The 27,849-nt window shown below is 64.3% G+C and overlaps 2 protein-coding genes and 1 long non-coding RNA gene across 62 annotated transcripts, besides 12 other annotated features; 1 reads left to right on the top strand and 2 right to left on the bottom strand.

Moving 5' to 3' along the window:
• WDR90 (WD repeat domain 90) lies at nt 11-18,862 on the bottom strand. 50 transcript variants are annotated; one of them, XM_047433722.1, is made up of 42 exons: nt 18,725-18,862; nt 17,987-18,078; nt 17,674-17,850; nt 17,479-17,587; nt 17,132-17,302; nt 16,738-16,846; nt 16,575-16,642; nt 16,094-16,197; nt 15,802-16,017; nt 15,306-15,374; nt 14,390-14,500; nt 14,171-14,316; nt 14,038-14,095; nt 12,694-12,812; nt 12,373-12,534; nt 12,138-12,268; nt 11,952-12,068; nt 11,304-11,539; nt 10,970-11,109; nt 10,620-10,750; nt 9,949-10,079; nt 9,497-9,658; nt 9,188-9,331; nt 8,830-8,945; nt 8,715-8,755; nt 8,465-8,596; nt 7,982-8,227; nt 7,680-7,783; nt 7,127-7,229; nt 6,669-6,790; nt 6,340-6,499; nt 6,054-6,244; nt 5,782-5,950; nt 5,510-5,621; nt 4,997-5,168; nt 2,040-2,162; nt 1,717-1,891; nt 1,491-1,621; nt 1,243-1,386; nt 1,049-1,168; nt 852-936; nt 11-409 (listed from the first exon to the last, which is right to left on the bottom strand). In XM_047433722.1, the coding sequence occupies exons 1-42, from the start codon at nt 18,759-18,761 to the stop codon at nt 252-254; spliced, it is 5,544 nt and encodes a 1,847-aa protein (XP_047289678.1). In that variant the 5' UTR covers nt 18,762-18,862; the 3' UTR covers nt 11-251. The 50 variants fall into 50 exon arrangements, with proteins under 50 accessions (XP_047289678.1, XP_047289680.1, XP_047289681.1 ...); XM_047433724.1 differs by having other exon boundaries at nt 4,997-5,162; XM_047433725.1 differs by having other exon boundaries at nt 9,188-9,316.
• Nucleotides 7,565-8,455: an enhancer, noted in NCBI's record as "H3K27ac-H3K4me1 hESC enhancer chr16:709386-710276 (GRCh37/hg19 assembly coordinates)". NCBI's record gives its function as "activates a minimal SCP1, AML or CMV promoter by ChIP-STARR-seq in naive H9 embryonic stem cells {active_cell/tissue: H9 hESC(naive)}" and the evidence as "EXISTENCE:reporter gene assay evidence [ECO:0000049][PMID:30033119]".
• Nucleotides 17,617-18,439: an enhancer, noted in NCBI's record as "H3K27ac-H3K4me1 hESC enhancer chr16:699402-700224 (GRCh37/hg19 assembly coordinates)". NCBI's record gives its function as "activates a minimal SCP1, AML or CMV promoter by ChIP-STARR-seq in primed H9 embryonic stem cells {active_cell/tissue: H9 hESC(primed)}" and the evidence as "EXISTENCE:reporter gene assay evidence [ECO:0000049][PMID:30033119]".
• Nucleotides 17,617-18,441: a biological region, named in NCBI's record as "H3K27ac-H3K4me1 hESC enhancer GRCh37_chr16:699402-700224".
• Nucleotides 18,102-18,231: a silencer, noted in NCBI's record as "silent region_6934". NCBI's record gives its function as "represses an Ori minimal core promoter by ATAC-STARR-seq in GM12878 lymphoblastoid cells {active_cell/tissue: GM12878}" and the evidence as "EXISTENCE:reporter gene assay evidence [ECO:0000049][PMID:35858748]".
• Nucleotides 18,342-18,441: a silencer, noted in NCBI's record as "silent region_6933". NCBI's record gives its function as "represses an Ori minimal core promoter by ATAC-STARR-seq in GM12878 lymphoblastoid cells {active_cell/tissue: GM12878}" and the evidence as "EXISTENCE:reporter gene assay evidence [ECO:0000049][PMID:35858748]".
• Nucleotides 18,528-19,383, top strand: LOC105371038 (uncharacterized). The gene is made up of 2 exons (NR_135177.1): nt 18,528-18,886; nt 19,226-19,383. It is a non-coding gene; the product is annotated as an uncharacterized LOC105371038 (long non-coding RNA).
• MCRIP2 (MAPK regulated corepressor interacting protein 2) lies at nt 19,367-26,013 on the bottom strand. 11 transcript variants are annotated; one of them, NR_138604.2, is made up of 6 exons: nt 25,798-26,013; nt 25,592-25,721; nt 21,233-21,369; nt 20,297-20,424; nt 19,957-20,058; nt 19,367-19,721 (listed from the first exon to the last, which is right to left on the bottom strand). NR_138604.2 is itself a non-coding variant. In NM_138418.4 (5 exons), exons 1-5 carry the CDS (start codon nt 25,847-25,849, stop codon nt 19,651-19,653), a joined length of 483 nt encoding a protein of 160 aa, NP_612427.2. In that variant the 5' UTR covers nt 25,850-26,013; the 3' UTR covers nt 19,367-19,650. The 11 variants fall into 11 exon arrangements, 3 of the variants coding, with proteins under 3 accessions (NP_612427.2, NP_001318158.1, NP_001318159.1); NR_138608.2 differs by having other exon boundaries at nt 21,237-21,369; NR_138607.2 differs by lacking the exon at nt 25,592-25,721.
• Nucleotides 19,862-19,911: an enhancer, noted in NCBI's record as "active region_10210". NCBI's record gives its function as "activates an Ori minimal core promoter by ATAC-STARR-seq in GM12878 lymphoblastoid cells {active_cell/tissue: GM12878}" and the evidence as "EXISTENCE:reporter gene assay evidence [ECO:0000049][PMID:35858748]".
• Nucleotides 24,899-24,948: an enhancer, noted in NCBI's record as "active region_10209". NCBI's record gives its function as "activates an Ori minimal core promoter by ATAC-STARR-seq in GM12878 lymphoblastoid cells {active_cell/tissue: GM12878}" and the evidence as "EXISTENCE:reporter gene assay evidence [ECO:0000049][PMID:35858748]".
• Nucleotides 25,189-25,328: a silencer, noted in NCBI's record as "silent region_6932". NCBI's record gives its function as "represses an Ori minimal core promoter by ATAC-STARR-seq in GM12878 lymphoblastoid cells {active_cell/tissue: GM12878}" and the evidence as "EXISTENCE:reporter gene assay evidence [ECO:0000049][PMID:35858748]".
• Nucleotides 25,339-25,618: a silencer, noted in NCBI's record as "silent region_6931". NCBI's record gives its function as "represses an Ori minimal core promoter by ATAC-STARR-seq in GM12878 lymphoblastoid cells {active_cell/tissue: GM12878}" and the evidence as "EXISTENCE:reporter gene assay evidence [ECO:0000049][PMID:35858748]".
• Nucleotides 25,649-26,198: a silencer, noted in NCBI's record as "silent region_6930". NCBI's record gives its function as "represses an Ori minimal core promoter by ATAC-STARR-seq in GM12878 lymphoblastoid cells {active_cell/tissue: GM12878}" and the evidence as "EXISTENCE:reporter gene assay evidence [ECO:0000049][PMID:35858748]".
• Nucleotides 25,649-27,001: a biological region, named in NCBI's record as "H3K4me1 hESC enhancer GRCh37_chr16:690840-691751".
• Nucleotides 26,090-27,001: an enhancer, noted in NCBI's record as "H3K4me1 hESC enhancer chr16:690840-691751 (GRCh37/hg19 assembly coordinates)". NCBI's record gives its function as "activates a minimal SCP1, AML or CMV promoter by ChIP-STARR-seq in primed H9 embryonic stem cells {active_cell/tissue: H9 hESC(primed)}" and the evidence as "EXISTENCE:reporter gene assay evidence [ECO:0000049][PMID:30033119]".

Raw genomic sequence — 27,849 nt, 5'->3', positions numbered from 1 at the left:
GCAGCAATAATGCAATAAATGCCCATGTTTATTACAAGATAGAAACATTAAAGATTTCTTAGGCAAAAGGGCAACAGGTATGAAAGTATTCACAGGGCGCCAAATTTACAACAGCTTGCTCCAGGCGATTTACGTGAATCCTGGCCTGTCCCAGCATGAGGCCATTGACAACCTGGCGCCTCTGCCAAGCCTGTGTCCAGGTGCCTGGCATGACCAGGCGTGATGCCCACCACCACAGTCCCTGCTGCATCTCAGAGGCCGGGGACCTCCCACACAAGGATCTCGTTGCGGGCGGCCGTGAAGAGCAGCCTGGCGGACGGTGTAAACCTGCACAGGTGCACTGCGTTGTCGTGGCCGGCAAAGTCTTGGGCAGTCCCCATGGCACAGTCTACCAGCCTCAGCATGCACTCTGTGGGTAGACGGTGCAGGTGGGCCAGGGCCAGGACCAGGCAGCACTCAGAGGGCTCCCCCAACCCACCCAGACTGTCCCCACTGGGCATGATGCTGGTCGGGGGAGCTGGTGCTAAAAGGGCTCCTGGCTGTGCCCTCCACGTGCCACTGGGACTAGGGGGTCCATCACTGCCAGGCTGTCGGCCTGCAGCTGGGCCAGTTCCCTCCTTAAAAGTCGCTGCCACCCGTGCATTCAGGCCCTGTGCTGGGCGCTGTGCCTGGTTCCTCACCTGCCTCATCATCTCCTGACTCCAGGACCCTCTCTAGGGCAGATGTCCTCACCCCACCCCAGAGACGAGGAGCCCGGGGCACAGGTGAGGCACCTGTCTTGGAACAGGGCACCAGTCAGCCCACTTGGCCCCCACCTAAGACAGGCCCAAACTGCATCCACCAGCACTCACCAGCAAAGCCAACAGCCAGGAGGTGGGTCCCGGGGGACAGGCTCAGGGACATGGCAAAAAAGGGCAGTGGTATCTTCTCCACCACCTGTGAGCAGCCAGCGTGAGGCTCCAGGCCTGTGGGCTCAGGGCTCAGCCAGGCCCCACCCACCACCCTGGATCCCTGGGGCTCCCAGTGACACGCGGGCAGCTGCGTGTACCTGCTTCTGGCAGAGGTTGTAGATGATCACCTCCTTGTAAACACCGGGGCCCACGTACATCAGGAGCGCCCCATCCCAAGGGCAGAAGGCAGCGAGGGAGGGTGGCAGGTGGCCCTGAGTCTGCAAAGGCGCAGCATGCTGCGGTGGGGTGGATGGGTACCGGCCCCACCCACAGTGCCAGGAGCATGGTTTACCTCCGTGGTGGCAGGCATTGGGAAACTCAACCAGTCCACAAGCTCACAGTGGTTCCGCAGCCAGTCGGAGGCCCAGACGCTGACCCGCTGGTCCCCACTGGCAGCCAGCCATAGGTCTGTGCCCTCCACCCCTAAGTCTTCACACTGGGAATGGAGTGGGTGAGGGCCGACAGGTGCCTTCTGCCAAGATGGTGCCTGCCCCCACCAGCACCCAGGCCCCCTCTCCCCAGCTCTTGGGGCTGCTTTACCTCTTTGCACGTGACACAGATGGTAGAGATTGGGGCGCCCTGGTGGTCACTCAGCACACGGAAGGTTGTCCCTGTGCAGGGGTGGCTCACAGCCACGAGCCCATCCTTGTCTCCAGAGAGGACAGTCTGACCTGGGACCATGCCGTCACCCTGTGAGCCCCCAGCCCGGAGACTGGACCTGGGCCAGGTCAGGACGGCACCATCCCCAACACACCCAACTCCTCACCATCGGTGGAGAAGGCAACAGTGGTCAGCGCCACCGGGTGGGGGTGCATCTTGAGCTCCATGGCCGTGCGGGAGACGCTGAAGATGCGCAGGGAGCCGTCACCGTAGCCAGCCGCTAGCCGCTGCTGCTCAGGGCGGCCACAGCACGGGGGGCTCCATGCCAGGCAGAGGCAGCTCTGGGGACCCACAGTGGGGAAACTTCAGCACTCACAGGGGCCCTGAGGACACACACCCAGGCCAGAGGGAGGAGGCGGCCCCGCCCATGCCAGGCCCCCCACTGAGCAGGCCCCCATCCCGCCCCCGGCCCGGGCACTCCCCACACACCTGGTTCAGCACCTGGAACTGGATCACAAGCTCCATGCTGGCCAAGGCCCACACCCGCACACTCCCATCCTCACTGCATGTGGCGCAGTGGGACTCCCCGGGGCTGAAGACCACCTCGTTCACCTGGGGGAAGCCGTAGCTAGGCTGGGGGTGTTGGCCCCTGGGCAGGGTAAAGGGACGCAGGCATTTCCTATTCCAGCCCCCAGGGCCGGGCTGTCCAAACCAGAGCATGTGCCTCTGGCCCCGGCCAACTCCACATGGCGGAAAGGAGCAATGCCGGCCCCCGTGTGTGTCCCTGCACTAGATCTGGGTGAGTCCAAACCAAAGCAAGCCCACTAGCCAGTCAAACCCGGCGGGATACCGAGGAGAAAGCTGTTCTGACAGCACCTCAAAGACAGGAGCGTGGCCGTGCATCCCTAGCAGGCTACAGACTGAGGCTGAAAGACAGGAGTGTGGCCGTGCGTCCCTAGCAGGCTGCAGACTGAGGCTGAAAGACAGGAGTGTGGCCGTGCGTCCCTAGCAGGCTGCAGACTGAGGCTGAAAGACAGGAGTGTGGCCGTGCGTCCCTAGCAGGCTGCAGACTGAGGTTGCAGCGAGCGCGCCATGCAGTCGCATTCCTCCTCCCAAAACCGCTGCACGCTGATTGGGGGGAAATGCAGACGTGTCATTATGCAGGTGCCACTGACAGCTGGGACTGCTGGACTGGCAGAAAGGAGACACAGCTGCCACTCACCAGTGAGAAGAAGCAATACAGCCTGGCACCAAATGTGAACTTTAAGTGCAAGTGGGAACACGATGCACTTCATTAAAAAAAAATCAGTTCAGCCGGGCGCGGTGGCTCATGCCTGTAATCCCAGCCCTTTGGGAGGCCAAGGTGGGCGGATCACGGGGTCAGGAGTTCGAGACCATCCTGGCTAACACGGTGAAACCCCGACTCTACTAAAAATACAAAAAATTAGTCGGGCGTGGTGGCGGGTGCCTGTAGTCCCAGCTACTTGGGAGGCTGAGACAGGAGAATGGTGTGAACCCGGGAGGCGGAGCTTGCAGTGAGCCAAGATCATGCCACTGCACTCCAGCCTGGGCGACAAGAAACTCCGTCTCAAAAAAAAAAAAAAAATTCAGTTCAGCTGAGCAATGAGGGACTGCAGGGACTCAGACCAGGACAGCTCAGTCCATCTCCCCGGGAGGGCCCTGGGCCCTACAAGGAAACGGCAAAGTCCAGGCCCAGGCAGAACCGCCCAGGCAGAACCACACAGGCGGGGCCCAGAATTCCTCGCACTTCCACATCACAGGAAGGCCACCAGTGACCACGGGCTCAGGTCACGGTCTCAGGACCCGAATTTCCCAGCCCTGGTGGATGGACACACACATGATCTATCCGTACAATGGAACAGTATTTGGCCATCAAGAGGGATGACTGGCTTGGCACACACAGCGGCTGGGATGACCCTGGAAACCATGCTCAGGGTGAGAAGCCAGGTGAGCCAGTTCCTACAGAATATCCTGAATGGGAAGACCCAGACACAGAAAGCCACTCAACGGTCGCCAGGGGCTGGGGAGGCGGGAAGCAGGGAGCGACCGAGGAACAGGCACGCACGGGGTTTCCTCTAGGCACGCACGGGGTTTCCAAAGCTGCTGAATATGCCAAAAGCCACCCCCTGAAACACACGGAGCTTGTGCTGTGACGACTACACCTCAGCAAACCTGCTTCCAGAAAAGTAAACAACCCTCACCTGTCTCAAACTCAACTTTCTTTGCTGGCTATCGTCATCTCCAAATACTAAAGACAGGTTTCTAAAGAAACAACCCAGGGGCAACTGGATGATGGGACTCAGCATCAAGGAAAAATCAATCCCGTGGGGCCCAGCTGACCACACGCAGAGCTCTTACACCCACAGGAGGAAGCCCATGGCCACAGCTGCTAGACCAACGCCACGCCAGGAACCTGGTCCAGCAGGGGAAGGAATGGCACCTGTCCTGCCGCCCCAATTCCGCCCAGGAGGCCACCTCTCCTAAGGCTGCAGCTGGCGGGTGAGGGGGCGACACGGTGGCTGTCCCAACCCCATGAGGCCACAGAGCTTCCAGACCAGGAGGTCCCAGAGAGATGAGTGCTGTGTACTTCTTGGAGACGCAGCTCCAGCACCAGGAGGCTGCAGGCCAGAGCTGGGCCTTACAGGACTAGACCCAACACCAACCAGAACCTGAACAGACCTGACCCAGAGAGAGCAGAACTTGACCCAGTAGCTACCTGGGCCTCCTGACCTCTTGAGCCTCAGAGAACAATCCCATGAGACTGAGTCAGCAAAGCCAGTCTATGGGAGGTGCAGGGACAGACGATGTGGGGTTTTTCATCTTTTTTTTTTCCTTTGAGATGGAGTCTCTGTCGCCCAGGCTGGAGTGCAGTGGTGCAATCTTGGTTCACTGCAACCTCTGCCTCCTGGGTTCAAGCGATTCTCTTGTCTCAGCCTCCAGAGTAGCTGGGATTACAGGTATACATCAAGAGGCCCGGCTAATTTTTGTATTTTCAGTAGAGATGGGATTTCGCCATGTTGACCAGGCTGGTCTCGAACTCCTGACCTCAGGTGATCCACCTGCCTTGGCCTCCCAGAGTGCTGGGATCACAGGCATGAACCACCACGCCCGGACTGATGTGATTTCTTTGACAATTACAAAAAACAAAAAACAAACAAACAAAAAAACGCAAAGCAATAGCAGGGAAAGGACAGTTTGAGAAGACCTGCAAGGCCTGCCAGGCGGCTCGCTTGTGCAGACACAACCGGGACGGCTTTGAGGGGACGTGCACACCCAAGACTTCCCCGCTGGGAACCCCAAGGCGGCCGCTGCGAGCCAGTGACGGCAGGACTTGGAATCATCTGGGCTGGTGGAGATGGAGCCGGCAGGCAGGGAGGGCACCAGGTTCGGCTGCCCCGCCTCTGCCCAGGCTGGAAGTCCCTCACCTTGCTCCTGTGGCCACTGATGAGACGTGTGCTGGTGCCCTCGGCCCAGCTGACAAACCACAGCGTGCCCGCCGTGGTGCCCACGACGCCCATGTCCACGCTGTCATCGAAGCTGGCACTCACCACAGCCCCGTCCAGCACCAGCTCGTGTTCCATGAACACAGAACTGGACCTCAGGGTGCAGGGAAGGAGAGAACAATGGGTCTCAAGGCCGATGACAAGAGCCAGCTGGGTCCCCAGCCGAGGCAGGGCCCTCAGCATTGCATCTCAGGACCTGGCTGTGCCCTCCCGGTGGAAGAAGAGAAAGCCCATGGAGCTGGGGCTTCTGGGCCCATGCCCGTACTCGACAGCAGCCAGTGAGGCCCAGGCCACACCCAAGCCTGTCCCTTGGAGGGGCTAGCAGGCGGCCGGTCTGCAGGGCGGCCTTTGCGGGGGCGGGGCACTGGCTGCAAGCCCCAGTCAGGGACACCAACACCCACGTGCAGCCAAAACACGTAGGGGTGAACAGCTCACCTGGCGCCTGAGCCCTTGCACCTCAGCTCCGACACAGCCCCCACGGCCCACAGGCGCAGCCGCCCCGTGCTGCTGCCGCTGACCAATCGAGAACCCGAGAACAGCAACAGCCCTAGGGGCAGGAGGAGCCATAAGGGGCCACGGCTGCCTTCCCAGAGGCCCTGGGTCACAAGGCTGCCCGGACGCCAGGGCTACAGATGAGGCCTCTGCCCCAGCTCTGAGGATCCCAGGTAGGGGTCCTGAGGGCCACAGGGCTTCTGCGGGGCACTCACCAATGCCACCGTCATCCGCCTCCCAGGACAAGAAGCAGCGGCCGGCACGCGTGTCCCAGACACAGACCTGGCCAGAGCTGGTGCCACAATAGAGCAGGGGAGGTGCCCCGTAGCAGAGCGAGGTCAGCTCTCCAGCCCCCACTGCCTCTGGGACTGGCTCTCGACGCACCTGGCAAAGTATGAGAGTGGCCATGGGTCAGCAGTGTCCCGGGGCCCAGGCAGATTCCACCCCACAAAACAACCCCTGGGCCCAAACGCTGAACGGGTGGCACCTGAAGGCTGATGTCTGCCCCACGCTGCTGAAGGAGCCAGAAGGTGACAGTGCCCTGGCCCACACAGGTGAGCTCGCCGGCGTCCCAGGGGTTGAAGGCCACACCATGCACCGGCTCCGGGAGGCGGGTGGAGGACACGAGGTCATAGGTGGCCGTGCCCCACAGGGCGAGGGTGCGGCCATCGTGGTCCCCTGGGAAGGACACAGAGCAGCCACGTCAGGTGCACAGATGCAGCCCCCCCCGGGGTCTAGGGAAGCCCCTGGCCTCCACCCTCCCTCCCACTGACCCAGTGTGACAAGAAGCCTGTCATCTGGTGAGAAGGCCAGGGCCAGCACGGTGGTGCTATGGGGGAAAATGAGATGCTGGCAGAGGCCGCCAGACACGTCCCAGACGCGGATCTGACAATGGGCGGTCGTGCTGCTTCGGCCCGAGGCAGAGGCCAGGACCTGGCAGGCAAGAGGCCAGGCGTGAGTGGGGAGGCCGTGGCTGGCTGGAGTGGAGGCTGGGGTGGCCGTCTGCTCCGTCTTTGGTGGTGAGAACCCGCACCGGTCCGGGAGCTGGGTTCTGCCGGGCACGGTGGCCCTGGGAGAGGAGGAGGGCGATGCAGGCGGGCACCTGGGCACTGTGGCTGAGGGCCAGCGTGGAGATCTCCGCAGAGTGGCCGGACCAGTGCTGCTGGGCGCCAGAGTGCAGGTCCTCCACCACCACCAGGCGGCCGCACGTGTAGGCAAAGAAGCCTGTGCGCAGAGAGGGCGGGGCCTGAGGCCGGGCCGGGGGGGGGGGGGGGCGGGGAGGGGCCTGGGGAGGGGCCGAACAGGGGGCGGGGCCTGGGCCGAGCCGTGGGGCGGGGCCAAGGGGTTAGCATCGTCCCAGCTGCGCCCTCCCCAGCGTCCAGTAGCCAAAGTGCTTCACAGGACCTCGGCTGGAGCGCCAGGAGGCGCTACCGGGAGAACAGAGCCCCACACTGATGGCTGGCGCTCATTTGCCACCAGGTCCTGGCCTTGGGGTGGAGACGGCTGGACCACGCGCGGCCGCATCTTGGCTGGGGGTGGGGGTAGGCTCTTGGCCCCCACCTGTGTCCGGCCTCCAGACCATGTTGGCCCGCCCATTCCCGCTGTAACCGACGACAGCCTTCAGACGCAGCCACCCACCGCTGGCGGGAGGCGGGCAAGTGCCCTGCGAGGAAGGAGACCCGGATGCTGCTGGGGCCCAGCATGGCCACCTGTGCCCCAAAGCCTGCACATGGGAGGCTGTGTTGGGGCACACCCAGGCCAGCTGCAGAGGACACCCAGGGGCAGACGGGGAAGCTGGGGTAGGAGGTGTGGGAGCTGTGGGCACTGTGCCAGGGCCAGGAGGGGCACAGGCCCGTGGGGCTCTCATCAAGGGCAGCTGCTGGGTGAGAGGGGAAGGCAGGTCAGCAGGAGGCCACCACAGAGTCCCGTCTGGAGGCCAGCGGAGGGCAGGGGTGGGGGTGTGGGATGAAGTTGCCTCCAGGGGACAGGCGCCCAAGGGCCAGAGCCATCACCTTTGGCGACCAAAAGCAACCCTGAGGAGGTGCTGGGGAGCCCTGCGGGGGGCCTCTGTGCTTGCTGGGGATAAAGAGGGCTCCCAGAAACCACTCCCCACCTTGGCAGAGTGGGGGCTGCAGCTGACCCTGGCAGGCGTGAAGGCCTTGCAGGAAGCCAGGTAGGTGGTGCGTGGGGCCCCCGAATTCCTGGTGTCCCTGGCGCCTGGCAGGGAGGAGGCAGAGCTTGTGGCATTACACTGCCCTGAGCTCTTCAGAGACCCCACACTACACGCAGTCTCCCCACAAGCCCCTGGTCTACCACACAGTGAGAACTGCACGGCGGGGCACAGGCCGGAGCCACAGACGCAGGCAAACCGTGTCCCACTGCAGGTGACCTTGCCTCGTCACACGGGGGACTCACCGACCGTCCTCAGGCCCCTGCACCGGCACCAGCGTCCCTGCCCTGCCCTCCACTGCTCACGGGGTTGGCCGGGGGAACGGGGAGGCAGGGCAAGCCCCCAGGAGCCCACTGCCGCAGCCCAGGCCCCGTCTCCAGCCCTGCCAGCCTCCTCCTCCGTGAGCACAGGTGGGCCTGAGGCCTGCCCAAGCCCCTCGGGGTCACAGCTCTCCTCACAGGGTCCTTCCTCATCTGACGGGGACAAGGTGCCTGGGGCCAAGGGGGAGAGGAAAAGCTGCCCCCATCCCGACCCCACCGTGTTCCACCTGATGAGGCTAAGGAGGAGAGGAAAAGCTGCCCCCACCCCGACCCCACTGTGTTCCACCTGATGAGCAGCGATGGCACCTGCACCCCAGAGCTGGACGTGCGTGAGTACCTGCTGCCACTGGGCCTGTGCCCTCTCAGACCCCCGAATCCCCCCACTCCTCCAGGACCCCTGCTGCTCACCATCGCCACCTTCGGGAGGCCTGGCACAGACGCCCAGCCGTGGTGGAGATGCCTGACATGGCTTGGGGACCTGCTGCCGGGGGAGCTCGCTGGCCCTGGACGCTGCGTCCTCCAGCGGTCCTGCGCCCGGGCCTGGGGAAGAAGCAGCCCTGTGATGTTTGGGAAGGAAGAGGAAGGGCCACTAGGCAGACACAGGACGGGCCCCAGAGTCAGCGCAGCACCTGCACCCCAGCTGAGCACAGCCACTCACCTGTCTTGCAGGCTGGGGGGGCCCCGGGGAAGCTTTGGTCGCTGGAGAGGGAGGAGAGAGGGTTTCAGGAGGGCCTGGGGGGCCTAGGCAGACACAGCTGAGAGTAGGCACTTGCCTCTCAGTAGGGGCCAGGACATCCCAGAGGAAGACGGCGTCCCCTGCGCTGAGGACCTGCTGCTGGTCAGGAGAGAAGGCCACAGCCTGCACGGGTTCCGAGTGGCCGATGTACACCTAGGGGTAGCGGCGTCACATGCAGGACCCCGAGGCGGGGCATGGATGCTGCCGTGTGCCCAGTCCCCAGGGACGGTGAGCCCCACACAGTGTGAGGCCCCGGAGGCACAGAGGATCCTTGGGGGGTCACTCTCACCCCTCACCTTCTGCTCTCCCTGCCCCCACCCACACCTGCAGGGGTCTCCAGGGCCACCTGAGGAGGCTCCTGACCGCCAAAGCCACCTGCCTCCCCACGCACACACCTGGGGGCCTGGGCTGGCCTGTGTGGCGTAGTCCCACACCTTGATGGTCCGGCCGGCGGCAATCAGCAGGAAGCGGGCGTCCTCACTGAGCGTCAAGGAGGGGCAGGGCTCAGGGTGGACACCGGGCAGCTGGAACACAGTGCTCTTGGGAAATGCCGTGTCTCAGGAGAGTGGCCAGCAGCCTGGGGCCTCCCTTCGTTGTGGGTGTGGCGACGGCCCCCCACCCAGCTGGAGAGGCTGCAGGCACAGAGGCCAGGCCTGGACAGCACAGGGAGGGCCAGGTCGGCGGGCCACAGCCCTGAGGCTCACCTCCCGGATGATGCGGCCCGACACAGCATCCAGCACCACGACTCTGTTGGACGAGGTGGACACCAGCAGGTGGCCCAGAGCTGCAGGGCCAAAGCACACAGCCATGGCTGAGTCCAGGCGGCTGCTGGCCAGGTCCAGAGTGCCGATGTCAACTCGCAGCAGCTGGGGGTAGTGGTAAGTGGCCGACAGTCAGGGCCCCTGGGCAGAGCCGGTGCCACCCAGGGTCAGGCTCGGGAGGGAGGTCCCGGGGACACGCACTCGGCACCCAGGCAGCACCTGCCCTGCACAGGAACCTGGCCGCACGTGGGCCCCACATGGCTGATGTGTACTCTGCGACAGGAGGCGGGACAGGGCCTGGGTCCTGCTCCCGAGTGGCCGTGACCTCCCTCCTGCCCCTGCAGCCAGCCTCTCATGGCCCAGTCTCCCTGGACCCAGGAGGGCTGCGGACTCACCTCATCAAGGGAGGCCGAGCCCATGACTGTCACTGTGCACCTGGAGGGTCCCACAAAGGCCAGCAGGCGGCCATCCCTGCTGACTGCCAGGGCGCTGGGGCTCGCGGGGGCATCCGGGCATACCATGTCCGCTGTGGCCACACGGGGCAGGGGTCAGCTGGGTGGGGAGTGCCGGGGTGCGCGTGGCCAGGGCCCGAGGAGGCCGCCGCCCCTGCCCCCACTTTCGGGAAACACCAGCCCCGGAGCACAGACGCATCACACCGGCAGAGGATTGCCAAGGTGCCAGTGGGCGCCAGGCGCTGCCAGGGGAGCTGGGAGTCCCCGTGGGCCAGCAGTAGTCATAAGTGACCACTCAGGGGGCCCAAGTTATGGTGGCCGCAGGACAGGGCAGGTGCCCATGCCTGGGTCTGACTCCAGCTGCTGACCTGGAGCTTGGGCTGCCTGCCGCCTCCTGGGCACAGACCCGAGCTGACCTCTGGCCTTGGGGTCCAGTGAACGCTAAACCACAGTCTCCTCAGGGCCTTGACAAGGTTACTGAGGCGGCCACGCCCCCCCACAGGACCCAGTCGGTGCACCAGGAAACCGGCATGTGTGTCCAGGTGTGGGCCTGCACCAGATCCAGGCCTCCCCCGCCCTGAGGAGTCCCCCAGAGTGGCTGCAGGGGGCCCAACCTGCCACTCGGAGGACATGCCACTGGGGGTCCGCACAGCTGTACTGGGCCAGGGAGCCCTGGGAGCAGGAGCTGAAGAGCAGGCGGCCGTCAGGGGTGGCGGTCAGGCCGGTGACAGCTCCTCGGTGGCACCTGCAGCACACACAGGGACCCCGCTGGCCCTAGCCCCGAAGCCCAGGTACCATGGGTTCCCTCGACCTCCAGCCAACCAGCCTGGCCATGGAAGTCCCCATGGGGCAGCAAAGGGTGGGGCTCCAGCCAGCACTGGCCATCCTGCACATGACCCCCACCTGGCCACCCCAGCTTCCACCGTGGGGTCTCCGTGGGGCTGGTGGCCAGCTGGGCACTTACGTGTGTTCCACCAGGACCTCAGCGGCCTCCAGGCTGAAGGAGCGCACGGCCCCACTGCTAAAGCCACAGAAAAAGGTTGGCCTTGTGGGGTGGAAGGTGACAGCGCACGGGGCGTCCTCTGATGATGTGAAGTCGTATAGCTGTGGGACAGGGGCCGTGCTGAGGGGAGGGCAGGGATCTCAAGGGCCCAGGGGCTCTCCAGGCGGCCCAAACCCATGGGGCCGACACAGGCTGGAAAGTCCAGGTCCCTATAGGCCCCTCTCACCCCCGCTGACAAACCCCAGCTTCAGGACCTCCCGGCCCTCCCTGCCGTGCTGCCCCTGCCAAACCCCACCTGCTGCAGGGTGGCCAGGTCCCAGATGCGGACGGTACGGTCCTGGGACACGGTGGCCAGCTGTCCCCGCCTCTGCTCCATGGCGAGGGCCAACACCGGGGCGGTGTGGGAGCGAGCCAGCATGTGGTACACCCGGGACAGCGTGTCCAGGAAGCCCAGGTGGCCCGAGGAGGTGGCAGACAGCACACGGAGGCCATCGGGGCTGACACAGACTGAGCTGACGGGGCCCTCGTGCTCTGTGGGTGGGGTGGGGTCAGGGGCCTCCAGGGCCACCCCGGGGTGAGCCGCATGCTCAGGCTTCGGGTCCCCGACACCCCAGCAAATGCACTCCCTGCTGCTCAAAGTCCCAGGCTCCACACGGCTGCAAGATGCAGCTCCCTCGAGGCCACCACTCTTAGGCTAGGCGGGACCCAGGCTGAGGGGCTTCACACACTACCCACGTCCCACCGGGCCCTTCCGTGAGGCTGCCCCGCGGGCCGCCCTGGCATCAGCCGCCCCAGGGCTCTGGATATGCCACTTGGCCCCGTGGCACCCTGTGCAGCCAGGAGCCAGGGCGGCTGACAGCAGAGCCCCGGGGACTGGGCCTTCCCCGCCCCAGCATCCAGGCGAGGCTCTCCCGGAGTTGGGAGAGCGTGCCCACAGCATCACCTGCCTCCAGGAGCACCGAGGAGAAGTCCAGGGGCCAGAGCCGCAAGAAGCCGTCCTCAGAGCCCACAGCACACATGGCCGGGGAGACGCTGAGGCTGCTGATGGCAATGCCGGGGCCTGGGGGCAGGGAGGCGTCAGTGCCTCGGTGTCCCTGCCACCCTGGCCACGTGGTGGGCGCCCTCTTACCTGAGCTGAAGGTCTGCTTCTGTGGGTGGGGACCGCCTGGAGTCCGTGTGGGGAGCAGGCGGCGGGCATGCCGCACGACCATGCGCTGACAGTCAATCTCCAAGATGTGGCCACTGCGGCTGCACACGAAGCTGCCCGAGGAGGCGGCAGGGAAGGTGAGGCCCTCAGGGAAGGGGAGGCCCAGGCACCAGGGCCCCCATGCCGGGGCAGGCCGTGGGGAAGGGCAGGGACTCACAGCATGGCAGCCGAGGGCTCCGGGCAGCCGTCCCGGGCCTGCTTGAAGGCCAGGTCGGTGAACTGCAGCGCGTGGTGCTCCCCTAAGTCCACGGGGCAGGAACGCAGCACCCCGCCACGCAGCCGCCAGAGCCGCACACTGCCCTGCCCGCACGACGCCATCCTGCAAGGAATGAGGACTGAGCACTGCCGCAGCTCGCAGCGCCCTGACCCACCGGGAGACGCAGAGACGCACAGCCAAGCCAGGGGGAGGTGCTCGGGCCTCGGCCCCCACTCCGGGCCCAGACCCTCTCCCAACATCGTGGATGGGCGGCTGCATCACCTGGTTTCATCAAAAAAGGTGACCCGGAAGGCCTGGACGTCAAAGTCAGTGTGCGCCTTTGCCAGAACGACCACCTCGCCACCGAGGCCCACCTGGCCGGTGCCCCAGGCCACCACCATCTGCAACAAGCCCAGGCTGAGCCCGCACGGCAGGGCCAGTCGGGGCCACCTCGATTCTGCAAGGCCCAGCCGAGCCCCACCCGGAGGTGGCTTTTCTCTCATGCGGAGACCAGCCTCTGAGCGTGCGGCCGTGGAGAGTGGAAGGAAACCAGCCCCTCCATCTTCTCATCCTGAAGCTTTGGGACTTCTACAGAGACCCGCAATGCTGAGCACTGCAACCCATTCGCAGAGAAGTACAAACCCCCCCGCAAGCCGGAAGGTGGATAAAAAGCAGCTCGTGGCTGGGCACAGTGGCTCATGCCTGTGATCCCAGCACTTTGGGAGGCTGAGGTGGGAGGACTGCTTGAGCCCTGGAGTTTGAGACCAGCCTGAGCAATGTAATGAAACCCTATCTCTACAAAAAGTTAAAAAAACAAAACGTGAGACCATCCTGGCTAACAAGGTGAAAGCCTATCTCTACTAAAAATACAAAAAAAAAAAATTAGCCAGGCATGTTGGCAGGCGCCTGTAGTCCCAGCTACTGGGGAGGCTGAGGCAGGAGAATGGTGTGAACCTGGGAGGCGGAGCTTGCAGTGAGCTAAGATCGCGCCACTGCACTCCATCCTGGGCGACAGAGCAAGATGCCATCTCAAAAAAAAAAAAAAAAAAAAGTTAGCCAGGTGTGGTGGCACACGCCTGTGGCCCAGCTATCTGGGAAGCTGAGGCAGGAGGATGGCTGGAGTCCAGCTGGCGGGGAGGTCAGGGAGGGGGTCAAGGCTGCAGTGAGCTATGATTGCACCACTGCATTCCAGCCTAGGTGACAGAACAAGGCTCTCTCTCAAAAAAAAAATGTTTAAAAAGGTGCCCCCACCAAGATGCCGGGTGCTTCGGCTGTGTGGAGGTGCCATTGATGCCCAAGCGTGGGTCAGCTGCAGGGGCTCTGCCACGTGAAAATCTTACAACCGCATCACCAGCAGAGAGAACGAGGCGAGGTGTGTAAACGCTGGCTTAAACCGACTCCGATGGCCGAAAAGCCGAGACGTGAAATGTGAGCTGCTGGTGGTGGTTTTTGTGCAGGGCACGGGGGCGGCATGAACACCAGAGTGCAGGGAGCCCCACCACAGGGAGGACACAGAGCAGGGACCCAGGGTCACATGAAGCTGGAGTTTCAGAAAACCAAGACCCTTCCAGCTGTCTGCGTGCATCAGGACAGCCCCACCCCAACCCGCAGCCAGGGCCCTGTTACCGTCCTCCCGTGGTGGTCCTTGCCAACCCCGCAGAGAAGGGCCCCGCTGTCAGAGAAGCTGTGAACAGGGAGGAGGTGGTCATTGTCGCCTGGGCTGACCCCCTCCCCCTGCATGGGGCAGACCTGTGCTCACCTGAGAGAGCAGACAACGTGCATTGGGCTCCGGAACAGGCACAAGCACCGCCCGGTCTGGAAGTCCCAGAGCCGCATCACACTAGGGGCCCTTGCCTGGGCCGAGGCCAATAGTGAGCTGCTGCCATCCAGCGCCAGGGCGGAGACCTAGGAGGCAGAAGGGTGAGGGAGGGTGTAGGGGCTGCAGGTGTGAGCTGCCCCAGGCCCGGGCAGCACCCACCTTGTCTGTGTGGCCAAGGAAGAAGCGCTGCTCCCCCGTGTCCACGAGCAGGACGACGATGACCGCATGGCAGGGGTACACGACAGCCGCCCCGTCTGGGGTCCACAGGGCCTGGCACAAGGGGGCGGGGGGCTGAGGACCGGTGCTACGCCAGGCCCCTCCTGGCTGCCGGGAGGTCAGCCTCACCTCCCACTCCAGCCCAGGGAGAGGGGGTGGCAGGCCTGGCACACACACCTGGGCACACAGCCACCCAGGGGCAAGAGAGAACACACACCCTGCACACACTACATACACGAGTCACAGGCTGCATGTGTCAAAAGAACAGCTGGAACACTCAAGCAGACACGTGTACACACATGCACAGACGCCTGTCCTCTAAGCCCCGCCTCCAGTGCAAGAAACTCCGGGGTGGGGGTAACAAAAGGCCAAAGGGCCCCCAAACACTCAGAGCAGGCACCCAGCAGGGCCTGACAAGGGCCCAAGGCCACTGAGGCAGAGGGGAAGGCCACCTCCTCTGCCATGGGGCTCCTCTCCTAGAAGGCCCACGTCACCCATGAGGGACCTACAGGTTGTGCCCACAGCCTGGCCCCACACTGCTGGTCTGGATCATCAGAGCTCTAAAGACGTGAGAGCTCTGGGTCTTCGGGGGGAGCACTTAGCCCAGCCAGTGAGTAAGAGATGCCCGTGACCCTGAGAGCCCCCGGGCACCAGGAGGTGACAGCAGCTGTGGGCGGGGCAGATGCCTGAGCACGCGGGAAGCAGCGGACTGCAGGGGGACGGGACCGCTGTGCCAGGGGGGCTCGGGAGCCCACACACAGCCACCACAGGACATAGGTCTCTCCTCTCTCCCCGTTCTGTACTCAGCGCTCGAGCCGGCCAACGAGAGCTGCTCTGGACACAGCCGCAGGAGCCTCACCTGTCTGGTGCCGTGGCCCCCAAAGCCGATGACGCCCTTGAGCCTCAGGACTGGGTCTGGGAGGAAGCCCTGAAACAGCCATTCGCATCAAAGTCCTGGGAGGCTCAGCCAGGTCCCCAGAATGCCCGACCAACTCCGAGCCCCGCCAACCCCTAGCTGGGTCCTGCCTCTCAAGAAGACTGCCCTGGTCCTGGGTGGCTCCTGCTGGCTGTGGTAAGGTGGAAGCTGGGACTCCAGTTGCACTGCCAGACCTTCGAGGGTCCCCCACAGACCACCTGGGGCTGACGCATTGGGGGTGAGCAGAAGCCCTGCCTTACTCTTTGTGGACAGAGATTCTTCCCCAAAGCCGCCTCCCGCCAGCTCTGCTCCTTGCCAGGAGGCTGAACAAGAGGAGACCGTTGGAGGCACATCCGTTCTGAATGCATCTCGGGGCGGGCTACCAGCTGCCCCAGCCCACACCTCACCAGGCCCCGCCTGCTGTGGGATGGGCACTCACTTCGCAGGAGCCGGTGCGGGCCACGGGCACCTCAGCCGACTCGTGAGTCAACACGTGGGTGCCGGCAGCAGCCGTGTGGATGTCAGAGGCCTCCAGCTGGGCCCAGGGCTCAAGGCTATGGAAACCGGGGCCATCCGCGTTGGAGGCGTCTGAGCGCTCTTGGGACAGGCTGACCTCCGGGAAGGGCCTGGGTGCCAAGGCGGCCCGGCCGGACTGCTGGGGGACAAGTGCCCATCAGCGTCCTGGGCCATCACACCCCAACCCCATCTCATAGGGCGAAGGGGGTACTCACGGCTGTGGGGCTGGGCGTCTGGACCACTGGAGACACACTGAACCGCACAGGTTTGCTGGAGGCCACCGGGCAAGGGAGAGGCTGTGGCCCCGGCCCCAGGAGGACTAGAACAGAGCAAAGAACCCCAGTGACCCAGGGGCCAGCTGTGCAGATGCCTGGTGAGGGTGACGCCTGGGGAGGGCAGCAGCAAGTGGCCCAGCCTCACCGGCTCTGCAGGACCCACAGCCAGTATCCCCACTTCCACCCTAGGCCCTGAAAGTCTCCTCTTCCAGCTAGAAAGCTTGGGGCCCCCGGGTACCCCTCACACAGACTTCCCACCCTCGTGGTTCTGGGAACTCGGACAACCTACGGGCTTCCCTGGGTCCCTGCACCAGCTGCAGCCAGCACACCACTGGGTCCTTTCCCAGCCCTGCCCTCTCCTACCGAGCCCCACGCACCCTACAGGCCTTAACCTGGGTCCCCGCTGACCCCCCAGACCCACCTGCCTCAGGAGGGGAACAGCTCTTCTCAATCGGCTTGGAAGGCACTTTCAAGCTCTCACTTGGAAACCTTGGCAGGCAGAGGGAGAGTCAGTGTCTGGGGGCCCAAGGGCCACCCACCCTCCCACCACCGAGGCCTCCCTCGAAAGAAGCAGAACCACTCACCGGACGTGGATGTAGCGGTCATGCCAGCTCTCTCCCTTGGGCACAGGGAATGCCATTTCCCGAGGCATAGGAGTCACGGGCAGCTTTGCCCACTGGGCCCCAGAGATGGCTACAAGGAGCAGGGTTGTTCCAGGTCAAGGGAGGCTGTTTAGCCACCTGAACACAGGGCACCCGCCAAGGCACTGCCACGCCACCAGCCCAGCCACCGCCCCACCCCAGGGCTGCCTCTGGGATGGGTTCTGACCCCAGGGCTGCCTCTGGGATGGGTTCTGGCCAGAGCTCAGAGACAGCACAGCTCGAGCACTGTATTTTCCCAAGCACCCTGGACTTGGGCCTCTCCAGGGCTGAGAGCATGGGTGAGATATGGAGTGGGGAGTGCAGGTGCGGCCCTCACCAGGCTCAAAGCACAGGTCACTGGTGTACAGGTTCCTGACCAGCAGGCTGGCGCACAGCCTGATGCTCTTGAGATGGCCGTAGCACCGGTTCAGGTAGACCAGGAGAACGTCCTGCAGATCGAGCTGCAGGCAGGTCCAGCGGGCTCCGGAGGGGGCCAAACCCACCAGATCTGCAGGATGGGCACTCAGGGTCAGCGCCCACCCTCCTGACAGCCCGCGACTCCCAGAACTGTGAGCTTGTGCCCCCGCCAGGTTGTCCTCCAGGCCGCAGAGGAGCCTCACTGGGCCTGCACCAACTCCCTCCAGCCACCTGTCCTGGATCATCCACACCCCATCTTGGTGTCACCTCTCTGAGGTGTCCTGGCCTCCAGGACCAAGGGAAACTGGAGCCACGTGGCCGTAGACTTAAACTCCTTGAAGAGGTTGGAGAAAGACACACGGATGACTTGGTTGTCCTGTGGGGACGGAGCAGGGCCGTGAGGAGACAGGGGCCGCAGGGGTGCCGGGGCTCCCACGCAGCCCCCAGCCGCGGGCTCCGTACCTTGGAGGACACATCGAGGTGGATGACGAAGTGCTTGCTGGGCAGGGGCCGAAAGAGCACATACAGGTATCGTCCCGTCAGCCCCAGAGACTGGGTGCTGCTCTTAGGGAGCTGGATGTAGTTGGCGGCAGAGACTGAGCCCCGAATGCGATACACGGCGCCCTTCAGGGTCTTGTCCTGGAGAAGCGGGAGCCCGCATCACCGACAGCACCCAGAAGAAGTGCAGCGGGGGCGAGGGGGCCCTCGGGGGCGGGGCAGCTCTCCTGGGGGCAGGGCAGGGGTGTGGGCTCCGGGCGAGCCCCCGGCCGCCTACCGTGACCACGGCCACGTCCCCCTGCTTGGCGGAGCGCTTCCACTCGTCCACCCGGAAGTGTCTGAAGACGTTGAGGAACGGGTGCTGCCACGCTGCGGGGAGCGGGCGCCGGGCGTCAGGGGACTCGGCCACGCGAGCCGGGGCCACTGCGGGGCTGGGCCGGGCCTCGGGGACCAGGCAGGAGCCGGGGCTCTCCGCGCCTTCCCCGGCGACGCCAACGCCAGCTAGGCTGGCGGGACGAGGCCGGGCGCCCGAGGGAAGCCAAGCTCCGGGAGCCCGAGGGTGGGCGCCCGGCAGACGGGACCCTGCCTGAGCGGGGACTCTGGCCTCAGGGCCTAGGCGGGGGCCCTGAGCGCTCCGGCCGCCGACCCTGGACCCCGGAACCCCGGAACCCGGGATCCTCGGGACCCCCGCCAGCCGCGCGCTACCTCGGGCCATGGCGCCGCCGCTCGAGCTTCCCGCCTAGGCCTCCGCGCGCCCAGCGCAGAGTACGCCCCGCGACGCCAGGCAACGGCTGCCTGGCAACGGTGCCACTTCCGCCATTACTTCCGCCGTCATGGCGGCGCCCTGGCCACGTGACCTCCCCGGTGGGAGTACCCCGCTCACGTCAGCGGCCTCCAGGGTTGCTCCAGCCGCGAATCCCGCTGCCCTTTGCCCCGCGGGCCTCCCAAGGCAGCCCCCTGTTAGCCCGACCGGCTTCGAAGCCCGCGCCGGTTGCGGATCCTCCGCCGCGCCCACCTGTCAGCGCCTCGGCCGGCCGGGGCTCCCGCCGCATGCAAGCAGCGAGGCGAGGTCGCGCTGAGGCCTGGCCATGCCACGGACGGCCGGGCCTCACCCTGCCGCTCTCTCGCCGTCCAGAGGCCCCTGCTCCACACCTGGGTACCCTGGGTCCTGACTCAGGTGGGCTGGGTCATCCCCGTCCATCAGGGAAGGTAGTGCGGGCGCCCGCGGAGGGGCTGGTTCCCACGTTCGTCCTATCAGGTTCCCCACGTACTCCTTCGCCCAGTGTCCTGCGGCCGGGCCCGGCGGATTCAGAATGGGACCTGGCGTTCTGAGACACAGCCCCAGTGCCGGTAGTGGGGGGTGGTGGACTGCACTCCGGGGCCATTTAATGTCTTTAGGCCTTGAGTCTCGGCTTCGGTCCCAGTCAACGCCAACGGGAGAGGAAAGAGGAACCAAGTGGGGTCCCCAGACTTCCAAGCAAGGTGGGCTGGCTAACGTCCCTCCTACCTGTCGCAGGGCAGCTGGGTGAGAAGCTAACGGCTTGAAGGAACAGGGCTACAAGGGGAGTTTGTGCTGGGCCTGGCGTCCCAGGCTGTGGACTGGAACTGGACATGAGAACCCCCCCTACACCCTCCCAAGTCAAAGACACTCCAAAAAGACAGTTTCTCCACTTTATTAGCCTGGAGCTCCTCCCTGCCAGCCCCAGGGGCTGGTCGCTGGTCCCTGGGCACAGTGAGCAGGGCTGAGGTCAGACGGGTTCGGCCCTTGGCCATGGCAGCTTGGTTGGGACAGCCGGGCCAAGGGAAAAAAAGGTGCAAAAGTCCAAATGCTGGCACTTCAGGTGTGGCCGGCACCCAGCCAGGCGCAGTGGGTGGGCAGGGCGCCATGCTTCTCTCCTGGCGACAGGTCGGCCGTGTAGCAGCGCCCCCTCCCAGCAGCCACTAGGAACAGCTGGTGATTCTCGCCAGGAACTGCTGCGCCCACCACTCGTCTAGGTCAATGGGCACAAAGTCTGTGGGCAGAGAAGGCTGGGCAGTGATGCTGCCTCCCAGGCCAGCCGGCAAGTCTCCCCTGGAGCTAACCACAAGCCGCTCACCCGGACTCCGAGTGCGGCAGGCGCTGGGAAGAAGGGGTTTCTGCACAAGAGTCCCCTCCCTCATCCCCTGGGGTGGGAACCTGGCAGGGCCTGGGTCAGGATCAGAGGGGCTGGGGGGTCTCTCCTGGGGGGACAGGGTTGGGGGGCTCACTCTGCAGCCGGGGATTGGGGGTCCTCTCCACGTACTGCACAGGCCTTGGCCCGCCCTCACCGGCTGGGCCACCATCCAGCTGCTGTTGCACCTGCTGCCAGGCTGTGGGAGGAGGGCAGTCGGGCTGAGCCAGGTCCCAGGCACCCCATCGCCCACCCAGGGCCTGATGGTCACCCTGGACTCCAGCCCCACACAGGGCTGGTCACAGGACACAAGGGCAGAGTGCCAAGGAAAAGCACAGCCATGCAGCGGCTGTGGGTCAGCTTGAAGTGGGGCCATCCCGGGTCCATGGTTTTGCGACCCAGCAGCCTATGCCGCACCCTCTGGCCCCGCTCGCTACCTTCGGACACAAAGCGGACATTCTCCTCGTGGGCCACTGTGTAGGTCTCCTGGGTCCCCTCGAAGGATGGGGACGTGGAGGGGGCCCGCCGGCCATTCACACGATTGAACACAAGCCTTGGCCCTGGACTGCAGGAAGGGAGGAGACGGACATGGTTGGTGCCCATCCCAGGTGCGGTGCTGCCTGGCAGAACTCAGGAGCAGCCCCGGGCCAGCCCACTTTCCCCAGACTTGGCCAGCCTAGGCACTTCCTGAACCAGAGAGAGCAGCCACCCACAGCAGCCGGTGGCCCAGGCCTCTCTTGCAGTCCCCAAGCCATCGGCAGCTCAGCTCACACCTGCAGCCCTGTGTCCTGAGGGAAGTGAGTGACTGTAGGGTGGGGGCCTCAGTCTTAGAGTGTCCCAAACCTTTGGTCGGGCCCCACTCAGTACCCCTCCCCGAGGGTCTTGCAGGTGCCCATGCTGCCACCTGCATCCCATCAGCAGCCCAGATTCTGACCTGAGCCACGACCCAGTCCATGACCATGTCTCTCTGCCCCAACCCCCCCACTCTGGGTGTAGTTCTAGGCCACATTCTCGCCCCACAGAAGCACCTCCATCTCCACGATGTTTCCCTCCATGGACGGATGGACCTGGACGGGAACGGGGGCCTTTGCCCTCTCCCTGGCTGCCCCCACGTCCCATGGGATGAGGACTGGGTGCCGGGATGGGCAGTCCCTGAGTCGGGAGAGTGACTATAACCCTCGCCCACTCCCCACCGGCCCGAGACAAGGGGCGATGCCAAAGGAGATGGCTCCCGCAGTGCCGCACGCAACGTCTGGTGGGCCCCTGGGCCCGTCCCGGCCAGCCGGGCCCAGGGCAGGGATGAGCGGCCCCAGCTGGCCGAGCCCTGAGCACACAAAGCCCGGGACAGGGCCGTGGAGGGAATGGGGCCGCACCTACAGCCGGAGGTGGGAGCCGGGAGTCCTGGGCTGCGCCTGCTCCGCCAGGCACTCGCGGTCCCGGCCGGCCTGTTGCCTTCCTGGGCTCAGGTGCCCCAGCGCCGCTCTCGGTTCCTCCTCAGCTGAGAGGGGCACTAAAATAAAGAGGAGTGTCTTGAGGGGCGCAGGGTCCTGCCGGCCCCAGGGCTGGCAGGGTCTGGTGGCCACAGAGGATCTTAAAACGTGCAGGTGGAGATGGGACAGGGGCAGGGGCACCTCCCAGGCCTGCCCGCTGCCTGAGTTTCTGCACAAACCACAGGGAATAAAGTTTGTCCACTTGGAAAGCCCCCTTGCCTGCAACCCACTCCCACCTCGGAAAGCCAGAAACTCCAAGAAAGCTTGGAGGTTGGATTATCAATGTCTAAGAAGACAAGAACATTGCCAGGGGCTGTGAATCGAAGGGCGGAGGTGGCGGCTCTCGGGCAGAGATGGGCCCCAGGAGGCAGGCACCGCCCCAGGGGCTCTGGTTACGTAAGGCTGCTGCTCTCTGGGGGAAAGGGCACCGGCCCGGCGAGCACCTATGGATCACCGCCAACCTCTCCCACTTCCAGGGACACTGCTCCGGGCAAACTTCAGCCCAGGGAGGTGAAGGCTGTGGAGTGCATCCTCTCCTCTCCCCTCCACAGCCCATCCCTTTTTCAGCCCATGAAGCTGGGCTTGGGAGAGAATCCACCTGAGCATATTACATGCTGGGTGGGGGCAGCACCAGGATATCATAGCAAATCCAACAACAGAGTCCATGGCCCTGACCCAGTACAGCCCCCAAGCCAGCCCCTCAGCCTGCCCTCACTGGGCCTCCCCACCCCCGTCTCTTGCAGGCTGCCCCTTCTCGCCCTGTGGGGTTCATTCCATTGTCCCTTCCTGTGGCGGTCCCCACACCCTCCATCTGCCCTGGGGTCGGGTGATCACATGGCCCCGTTTCATCTTATTACTTATATCGCCTCAGTTTATCTTACTGCCTCCCCTATCCATCTCCCACCAGGAGGAAGAACTTGTCAAAGGTGTATCTGGGCTGGGCGTGGTGGCTCATGCCTGTAATCCCAGCACTTTGGGAGGCCGAGGCGGGTGGGTCGCCTGAGGTCAGGAGTTCAAGATCAGCCTAGCATACGTGGTGAAACTCTGTCTCTACTAAAAATACTAAAAATTAGCCGGGCATGGTGGCGGGCACCTGTAATACCAGCTACTCCGGAGGCTGGGGTGGGAGACTCACTTGAACCTGGGAGGCGGAGGTTGCAGTGAGCCAAGATCACGCCACTGTACTCCAGCCTGGCAACAGAGCAAGACTCTGTCTCAAAAACAAACAAAGGTGGCCGGGCGCGGTGACTCACACCTGTAATCCCAGCACTTTGGGAGGCCGAGGTGGGTGGATCACGAGGTCAGGAGATCGAGACCATCCTGGCTAACACGGTGAAACCCCGTCTCTACTATAAACACAAAAAAATTAGCCGGGTGTGGTGGAGGGCGCCTGTAGTCCCAGCTGCTCGGGAGGCTGAGGCAGGAGAATGGCCTGAACCCGGAAGGTGAAGCTTGTAGTGAGCTGAGATCACACCACTGCACTCCAGCCTGGGCTACAGAGCGAGACTCCATCTCAGAATAAAAATAAAAATTAAAAAAACAAACCAAGGTTTATCTGGTCTGTCACTGTCGTGGGCAGTGCCCAGACCCATGCCTGGCAGGAACCAGAGCCAGCATACATCATGGGTGACAAGCCTTGACCCTCTGGGTGCACCAGGAGATGTGCAGGGACCCCGACACCCCCCTCCCGCGCCCAGTCAGTGAGAGATGAGGAGTAGCAAAAAGCACCAAGGAGAAGAAAAGGCAGGGCAGGGCCGGGCGCGGTGGCCCACACCTATAACCCCAACGCTTCCACAGGCCAAGGCGGGAGAATTGCTCGAGCCCAGGAATTGAATACTACCCTGGGCCACATAGTGAGACCTGTCTACATAAAAGTTAAAAATGAGCCAGGTGTGGTGCTCGCCTGTCATCCCAGCTACTCAGGAAGTCGAGAGGTGGGAGGATCACTTGAACCTGGGAGGTTGAGGCTGCAGTGAGCCATGATTGCACCACTGCACCCCGGCCTGGGTGACAGAGCAAGACCTTGTCTCAAAAAGAAAAAAATTAAATGAAGTAAAAAACAGCGAGGTGGGTGGCAGCATGGGGTGGGGTGGTTCAGAGGGAAGGTGGTTGGCCAAGCACGGTGGTTCACGCCTGTAATCCCAGCACTCTGGGAGGCCGAGGTGGGCGCATCACCGGAGGTAGGGAGTTTGAGACCAGCCTGACCAACATGGAGAAACCCTGACTCTACTAAAAATACAAGATTAGCTGGGTGTGGCAGTGCACGCCTGTAATCCCAGCTATTCGGGAGGCTGAGGCAGGAGGATCGCTTGAACCCAGGAGGCAGAGGTTGCGGTGAGCGGAGATCCTGCCATTGCACTCCAGCCTGGGCAACAGAGCAAAACTCCATTTCAAAAAAAAAGAAACAGAGGGAAGGTGGTTGCCCCAAGAAGGTGCAGGAGCAGGATGGGGGCTTCATGCAGAGATCCCACTGCTGCCAGAAGCTCCCAGCGCTGGGGCCTGGGGGTGGGAAGGTGGGTGACCCCAGGGAGGAGAGGGCAGCACACATCCTGCCCTGCCCAGGGCTCCTCTAGCCCCACTGCACACGGGGTGAAGCCCACTCAACTCCCACAGGTCCCACTGGCTGACAGAGGACCTCACATGGGGACTTTAAGAAAACAGGCCGGGCGCGGTAGCTCACACTTGTAATCCCAGCACTTTGGGGGGCTGAGGCGGGTGGATCATGAGGTCAGGAGATCGAGCCCATCCTGGCCAACATGGTGAAATACAAAAATATAAAATTAGCCGGGCATGGTGGCACGCACCTGTAGTCCCAGCTACTGAAGAGACTGAGGCAGGAGAATCGCTTGAACCCGGGAGGCAGAGGTTGCAGTGAGCTGAGATTGCGCCACTGCACTCCAGCCTGGGCGACAGATGGAGACTCTGTCTCCAAAAAAAAAAAAAAAAAAAAAGAGACAACAGCCAGTGGGCCTGGTGTTGCCCACTGGGACCCTTGGGGTCCCATGGAGAACTCTGGGAAGCATTTCCATCTTCTTCCCTAACTCCTCCTAACTGTGCCACAGCCTTACCCCTGCCCTCCCTAGCAGTGGGGTCTTGGAGAGAGAAGAAAGGTGGTTTCCCCAGGTTAAGAGAGACGGCGTCACCCTGGGCCACTCCAGCCTCATGCTCCCTGCCTGGGGACCAGGTGGTGGCTACAGGTGTGCCTCGGTTTCCTCCCCTGGGAAGTAGAGCGGCCACGAGGACCAAGGGTGATGTCCGCGGAGCGTCCCAGCAGAGCTGGGATGCTGGAAGCACCTAGGGGCCCACTCACCTCCCGCCAGAAGGCGCCTCTGGTAGAGGGCACTTACCTCACTAGGATGGAGCCCCAGAGAGCCCCCGCCCCGCTGGAACCTCCACACCTTTCTGAGAGGTAGGCAGGGGGCAGGCTGAGGGTGGCTCGGCACCCCCCCACCTGTAGCTGCCCTGAACTCCTGGCCCGAGCTCTCCTCCCCAGCACCGCCTCAGGCCATGACCCTACCACCTCCAGGAGCCTTCGGGCCGGCTTGGGGCCACAGCAAAATCCACAGGCCTGGGAGAGGCACAGGATAAATGAAGGGAACGGTGGAGGAACTGAGCCAAAGTCAAACGTCCAGCCCTGCGGGGCTGTCCAACCTCTGGGTCATGGTCACGGGGAGGCCACAGTGGCCGGACTGAGGCTCCTGTGGTCTCGGAGTTTCCTAACTGGGTTAGGAAAAGCAGAAGCAACCGGATGGGGGGAGGCCCCACTGCCCCAGGGTGTCTGGGGTGAAGGGCGGAGGAGGGCAGCGGCCCTGCCCGAGGGAAGCGCACGCACGTCTCCCCCACTGAGCTCTGCAAGGGCAGAGCCGGGAGATCTTGAGGACCAGCGCCCGACGCTCTCCGCGAACCGTGGCCTGGGCCTGCTGCACGTCAGGGTTCCAGCAGCAACCCAAGGTCGCCCGAAGCACCGACCTCGGACGCTGGAGGCCCCTGCGACCCAGGAACTGGCCGGCTTTCTCCCCGCTGGGGGCCCGGGCCCGGCCAGGTGAGGCGGAAGTGCGAGGCGCAGGCCCGCGGGCGCGTAGTGGGCAGGACCCGCGCACCCCCCGCGCCCGGAGCGCCCGCCCCGCCTGCAGCACGTGGCCGGACCTCACTAACATTTCCCCAAGGTCACCCTCCGCTCTAGGGCGGCCGGCGGGGGAGGGGAAGCCGGGCCGGGCCGGGCCGGGGCCGCGCGCGTCTCACCTCGACAGGGGCCAGGGTCCCGGCGGCTGCGCAAAGGGCTGCGCCCGCGGGGGCTGCGAGGTCGGCGGCGCGGGCTGCCGGCATTTCAGGAGCTCGCCGAGCCGGCCCTCCACCTGCTGCTGCGTGGGACCTGCGGGCACCGGGGGGCGGTCAGCCGCCGCCGCGCCCCGCCCCGTCCCCGTTCCCGTTCCCCGGCCCGTGCGCACCTGTGCGGCGCTGCGCGACCAGCTTGCTGGGCCCCTTGGTGATGGTGTACATGACGCGCCGCTCCCACACCGCCGCCGGCCCCCGGCCAGATCCGGCCCCTGCGCCGGGGCTCGCACTTAACGGACTGCGGGCGCCGCGGGGAGGGGGCGGGCCCGCTACACGCCCCCGGCCCTTAAAGGGCCCGCACGGGCTCGGGCTGACCCCGGACACGCGGCGGAGGCGGCGCTTGCGCCCTTTGGGAAACTGGCAGGCGGGGGCGGAGCCGCCAGCAACCCCGCCCCAGCCCCCGGAGGCCCGAGGCCAAGGCGGACGAGGCGCCCTGCTGCCCGGGAAGGCCGTTGCTGCCTGGAGGCCATGTCAGTGTCGGGGCACCGCACTCAGACTGCTGGCGGCGAGGACCCAGGGGCCCTGCGGGGTCAGCGGCGATGTGCGAGCAGGGTCCTCGGAGCCCCAGGGCCCACCTTTGACAAGCGCTGGAGGAGAACCTGTGCTGGGGGTCCCTGTGCTGGGGGCATCCCTGTGCTGGAGGTCTCTGTGCTGGCGGGATCCCTGTACTGTGGGGGGGTCCCTGTGCCTGTGCTGGGGGGCTCTGTGCTGCGGGCCCTGTGCCGGGGGCATCCCTGTGCTGGGGGGATCCCTGTGCTGGGGGGCCCTGTGCTGGGGGCATCCCTGTGCTGGAGGTCTCTCTGCTGGGGGGATCCCTGTACTGGGGGGGGGTCCCTGTGCCTGTGCTGGGGGGCTCTGTGCTGCGGGCCCTGTGCTGGGGGCATCCCTGTGCTGGGGGGATCCCTGTATTGGGGGGCCCTGTGCTGGGGGGATCCCTGTGCTGGAGGTCTCTGTGCTTGGGGGGATCCCTGTACTGGGGAGGAGTCCCTGTGCTGGATCCCTGTGCTGCGGGCCCTGTGCTGGGGGGATCCCTGTGCTGGGGGCCCTGTGCTGGGGGGCCCTGTGCTGGGGGGATCCCTGGGCTGGGGGGGTCCCTGTGCTGGGGGGCCCTGTGCTGAGGGGCCCTGTGCTGGGGGGATCCCTGTGCTGGGGGGGTCCCTGTGCTTGGGGATCCCTGTGCCGGGGGGCCCTGTGCTGGGGGGCTACTCTGTGCTGTGGGTCTCTGTTCTGGGGGCTCTGTGCTATGGGGGGTATCTGCGCTGGGGGCTCTGTACTGGGGGACTCTGTGCTGGGGGTGTCTGTGCAGGGGGGCTGTGTGCAGGGGAGCTCTGTGTTGGGGGCTGTGTGCTGGGGGACTCTGTGCTGGGGGCGTCTGTGCTGGGCTCCTCTGTGCCGAGGCTGGAGGCAAGGATTTACCATTCATACTTGGGGAGCCTCAGCCAAGGTGCCTGCAGAGGCCTGGGCCAGTGTGAAGGGTCACCCTTGGCTTGGGTCTTGGGACTGGGTCTAAGAAGAGAAAAAGCGGCTCATCCCCCTGGACTTGGGTAGAGACATGATGCCCTGGGAGTCTCCCTTCCACCCCAGGAGTCAGAACCCTGGCTGCACTCTGCCCCACGTCCTGGCCCCCAGGCTGAGGTGCACCCAGAGGCCCGACGTGTGCCTCTTCGGCCCCTGGGGCTCCTGTACCCGCCCCACAGATGTGAGAGTGTGGCAGGCCAGGTCTCACTAACGCAGGCCTCCATAACAATTATTTCAGTGCAGAGTGGTTAGTTCAATATTAAAAGCTTAAAAAGCTGTCCAGGATCGGTGGTTTACACCTGTAATCCCAGCACTTTGGGAGGCCCAGGCAGGTGGATGACCTAAGGTCAGGAGTTCGAGACCAGCCCAGCCAATTTAGTGAAACCCCATCTCTACTAAAAATACAAAAAAAAAAAAAAAAAAAAAATTAGCCAGGCATGGTGGCAGGTGCCTATAATCCCAGCTACTCCAGAGGCTGAGGCAGGAGAATCACTTGAACCTGGGAGACAGAGGTTGCAGTGAGCCAAGATCGTGCCACTACACTCCAGCCTGGGCAAAAGAGTGAGACTCCGTCTCAAAAAAAAAAAAAAAAAAATGCCGGGTGTGGTGGCACACACCTGTAGTCCCAGCTACTCGGGAGGCTGAGA

The sequence above is a fragment of the Homo sapiens genome, chromosome 16 (assembly GCF_000001405.40).
Source record: "Homo sapiens chromosome 16, GRCh38.p14 Primary Assembly".
NCBI classification, from domain to species: domain Eukaryota; kingdom Metazoa; phylum Chordata; class Mammalia; order Primates; family Hominidae; genus Homo; species Homo sapiens.
The sequence above is the reverse complement of the archived record's forward strand: the minus strand, read 5'-3'. Positions and strand labels throughout refer to the sequence as shown.